The sequence below is a fragment of the Homo sapiens genome, chromosome 19, assembly GCF_000001405.40.
Source record: "Homo sapiens chromosome 19, GRCh38.p14 Primary Assembly".
Classification (NCBI taxonomy): Eukaryota; Metazoa; Chordata; class Mammalia; order Primates; family Hominidae; genus Homo; species Homo sapiens.
Window position 1 is genome coordinate 585,569 of NC_000019.10, and position 4,312 is coordinate 589,880.

Genomic DNA, 4,312 nt, shown 5'->3' on the forward strand with positions numbered 1-4,312 from the left:
AGTCACCACCGCCAGGTCATGAGATGAGATTAGATCATCCTTGCCAAGTATCAGGAAAAGGCCTCAGGGCTCCCCTGGGAACCTTGGGGTCTCAGGAGTCCCAGCTCCCAGTGGGCAGGGGTAGGGTTGGGGCGGCCAGAGGAACAAGTGTTTGTTCATGGGCTGGACCCCACCGCGGCCCCAAAGCTGGGCTGCCTATTCCTGTCCTGGGCAAATTGGCCTCTCCTCCCTCTTACCCCCCACCCCAGTGGGAGCCCACAAGGACAGGGCCTGCCCCATCCCCTCCACTCTGGGCTGTGGCTCTAAGCAGCACGTCCCACTCTAGGGGCTCAGGGCAGGGACAGTGACTCATCCAAGGTCCCGCCGTGGAGGGCAGAGCTGAAGGAGTGAGAAGGAGCTGCTGACATGGAACTGGCCCGTGCGGAAAGACTTTGGTCTTCCCCATATTTTTCACCAGGCTCCTGGGGCAAGGTGAGCCCAGCAGGGAGAAGGAAACTTGTGTGAATCCCAGGCCAGCAGGACTGGGGGCCCTGCTCTCATCGCAGACGCTGCAGACACGGAGGCCTGGGGCAGGGGCCCTCAGGGCTGTGCTCCTGCAGAGATGGAGCTTGCGTGTGTGGCTGAGACTGGGATGCCACCCCCTTTCCTAAGCCTCTGTTTCCTCCGCTGTAAATGTGGGCCCAGGCCTGCCATGCACAGCTCATCTCTTTAATTTTCTTTTTTTTTTTTGAGACAAGGGTCTCATTCTGTCACCCAGGCTGTTTGTGCAGTGGTGTTGATCTCGGCTCGCTGCAGCCTCGACCTCCTGGGCTCAAGTGATCCTCCCACCTCAGCCTCCCAAGAACCTGGGACCACAGATGACACGCACCCCTCCCCCTGGCTCGTTTAGTATTTATTGAGTCAAACTGCAGATTTTCCAGGCGGGCTCAGTGCCTGCCCTGGCCTGATTTTGTCTTCCTGGTCTTAAACTGCTTTTCACTCCAAAGGCCCCAAAATTGTATAAGCTTTCAGGGCGTGCGACCTGGACCTGTCCTGACTAAGTGGGAAATGTAGGTCCGAGGTTGGTAAATCCGGTAAACAATGCCGAGAGAGGCTGCAGGGGGCGGGGAGATGGGGAAGACCCTGGGGAGGGAATGGCAGGGCCTGGGGAGGTTCAGCGAGGAGGGGTCTGGGAGTTCGGGGTCCAGTGACCCAGGCACACAAAGGCCAGACTCGGGCGGAGGAGTACAAGCTGCTGGAGGGACCCGGGCTTTCTTCCAAAGGCACTGGGAGCTGTGAGTGGTTTTAGGCCACAGACCGATGTGACTGACTGAGGGGCCAGGCCCTGGGGCTCCATGCTCCCTACACAAGCCAGGTGCGGTCCCACCTCAGGACCCTCGCACAGGCTATGCCGCCTGCCCAGAGCTTCCTGCAGCTTCCCGGGCCGCACCCCCTCCTTCAGGCCTTCTCCCAGCACCTGGCCCCCTCCCCACCCTGAGTGTTTGGACAATGCTCACCACCTTCTGCTGGACAGTATCTTACTTGCTACTCATAAGGTTGACTGTGATACCCAGCTTTCTCCCCTGGCTGGCTCTCTGAGTCAGCTGTACTGGCCTCTGAGTCAATACTCGGCCTGGAGTAGGTGCTTAATAAGTTTTTGTTGATTTTTTTTTTTTTTTTTTTTGAGACAGAGTCTCGCTGTGTCACCCAGGCTGGAGAGCAGTGGTGCCATCCTGACTCGCTGCACCTCCCAGGTTCAAGCGATTCTCCTGCCTCATCCTCCTGAGTAGCTGAGATTACAGGCATGTGCCACCACATCCGGCTAATTTTTATATTTTTTATTAGAAACAGGGTTTTGCTATGTTGGCCACGATGGTCTCGAACTCCTGACCTCAACTGATCCGCCTGCCTCGGCCTCCCAAAGTGCTGGGATTACAGGCGTGAGCCACCGCGCCCGGCTTTTTTTTTTTTTTTTTTCTGAGACGGAGTCTTGCTCTATCACCAAGCGCTGGAGTGCAATGGTGTGATCTCAGCTCACTGCACCATCTGGCTCCTGAGTTCAAGCGACTCTCCTGCCTCAGCCTCCCAAGTAGCTGGGATTACAGGCGCCCACCACCACGCCTGGCTAATTTTTGTATTTTTAGTAGAGATGGGGTTTCACCATGTTGGCCAGGCTGGTCTCAATCTTTAAATATTTTTTAAATTAAAATAAATGAGCATGGCTGGGGGGGTGGCTCACACTTGTAATTCCAGCACTTTGGGAGGCCGAGGCGGGTGGGTCACCTGAGGTCAGCAGTTGGAGACCAGCCTGGCCCAACATGGCGAAACCCTGTCTCTACTAAAAATACAATAATTAGCCGAGCGTGGTGGCAGGCGCCTGTAATCCCAGCTACTCCGGAGGCTGAGGCAGGAGAATCGCTTAAACCCGGGAGTCGGAGGTTGCAGTGAGCCGAGGTCACGTCACTGCACTCCAGCCTGGGCGGCGACAGAGCGAGACTCCAACTCAAAAATAAATAAATACATAAATAAACAGATAAATACAGAGTACTCCGGCCTGGGCAAGGGGTCAGAGTGAGTGTGCCGAGGCCAGGGAGGGTCCCCGTGCACACTGACAGGCGCTGGCCTGGGTAAGCCTGTGGGCTGCAGAGCCGTCGCCAGGATCTGGTGACAAGGACCCCGAGCCACAGCCTCCCTTGTGACTTGCGGGTTCTGCCGGCGCCTGCAGGAGGCGTCTTTCTGCTTCTCCCACTGCCAGGCATGGGCGGTTCTCGTGCCGTGCGGGTCCCGCCTCCTCCCTGCTCCCAGCCGCGAGCCCTGGGGCTCTGGCGACCTGCCCGGCCTGACATCTTCCCAGGGTGAACATAAAAGAACCCCCTTCAGCTGGAGCACGCATCTGCCTCGGGGCGGGCCACAGCCTGGCACTGCCAACTGTGCCGCCCGCCCGGCCTCTCCCGCACCACCTTGGGACAAACAGCTGTCCTGCCCGCCTATGCGGAGGTGGCCGGCGGGGCCGGCGTGGGGGCGCAGGGATCCCCAGGGTGTGGGGCAGCCAGGCCGAGGCGAGAGACACGGTCGGGCTCAGCCCATCCACTGTCAGCCGGGCACATGCTGGCCCTCCCTCAAGTACCACTGAGTGCCTCCTGGGTGTAGGAAGAGGGCCATCTCTGCCCCGGTGGCCTCGAGGTGCAGATGGGTGGGGGGCACCCGGCACACGGGACATCGTGGCTGAGAGGACGTCAGGCCAGGTGCCAGGAGGGTCCCAGGAGGGCCTCCTGCCTCCAGGTGGGGATGTTCAGCCTCCACTTCTTCGAGTGTGACTGTCTGTCTCCTCTCTCTCACTTGCCAGCTTCCTCACCTGCCCCCTCCCGGCTGTCTGGTGGGCTGGGTGGCTAGGGACAGAGGCCTCATGTCACCTGGCACCAAGCAGCACCCACGCCCAGCCGGCTTCGGCCCAGAAGCAGAGCCTTGGGAAGCACCTGTCTCAGAGCTGGGGACTGGAGGCACTGGGGGCACAGCTGCACCCGGAGTCCGAGGGGTCGGGGAAAGGAGGCAACCCCGGGGCAGGGGGCTCTGGTACCCGTGCGAAGGCGCTAGTGGGCTTTGGGTCTCCCTGTGACCCCAATCTAAAGCCCACCAGACCTAGAGGAGACCCCCGCCGCACGGCTCCCCAGGGCACTGTTTGAGGGGTGGGTGGGAACCCCACACCCTCGGGTGGCTTTTCCAGTTTTCCTTGTCTGGCTGGGCTTGGCCTCAGTTTCCTCAAATGCAGACCAGGGAGAGGAGTGCCTGAGTCTCCCAGAACGGCGCCCAAGCCGGCCTGCCCCTCCCCACGCACTCAAGGGTCTCTGTCCAGGGCCCACAGGCGACCCAGCAAGGGCTCCTGTGACCTTTAGAAACACCCTTTCGTCGTGGAAGTCTTCAAACCTCACAGAAAGCAAGGAGGCGCTGGCCGTGGCGGCCTCTCCCGTCTCCCAGGCCCGCGTCCACCCTCCCCGCGCCGGTGCCCTCCGGACAGAGGTGGAAGCCGCGGCGCAGGAGAGGCGGCTCCGGCCGGGCAGCGGGGCCCGGTGACCTTGGGCGCGTCCTTACACGTCGCGGGCCTCAGTTTCCCCTCCTGGGGAGAGGCCCGCGCGGGGCTCCGAGGCCTCGGGCCGCGTGACCTTGGGGCGCCCCCGACCCCGCGGCCCGAGTTTCCCGGCGCCGAGCGGAGGCGGCGCGCGGGGAGGGGGCGCAGCCGAGGCGGGTCTCCCGCCCCCGCCCCTCCCCCGCCCCTCCCCCGCCGCGAGGCTCCGCCCCCCGCGGCTCCGCCCCGCCCCGCCCCCGCCTCCCCCCT

The 4,312-nt window shown here is 61.8% G+C and overlaps 1 annotated feature.

The window, feature by feature from the left end:
• Positions 2,503-3,082: an enhancer, noted in NCBI's record as "H3K27ac-H3K4me1 hESC enhancer chr19:588071-588650 (GRCh37/hg19 assembly coordinates)". NCBI's record gives its function as "activates a minimal SCP1, AML or CMV promoter by ChIP-STARR-seq in naive H9 embryonic stem cells {active_cell/tissue: H9 hESC(naive)}" and the evidence as "EXISTENCE:reporter gene assay evidence [ECO:0000049][PMID:30033119]".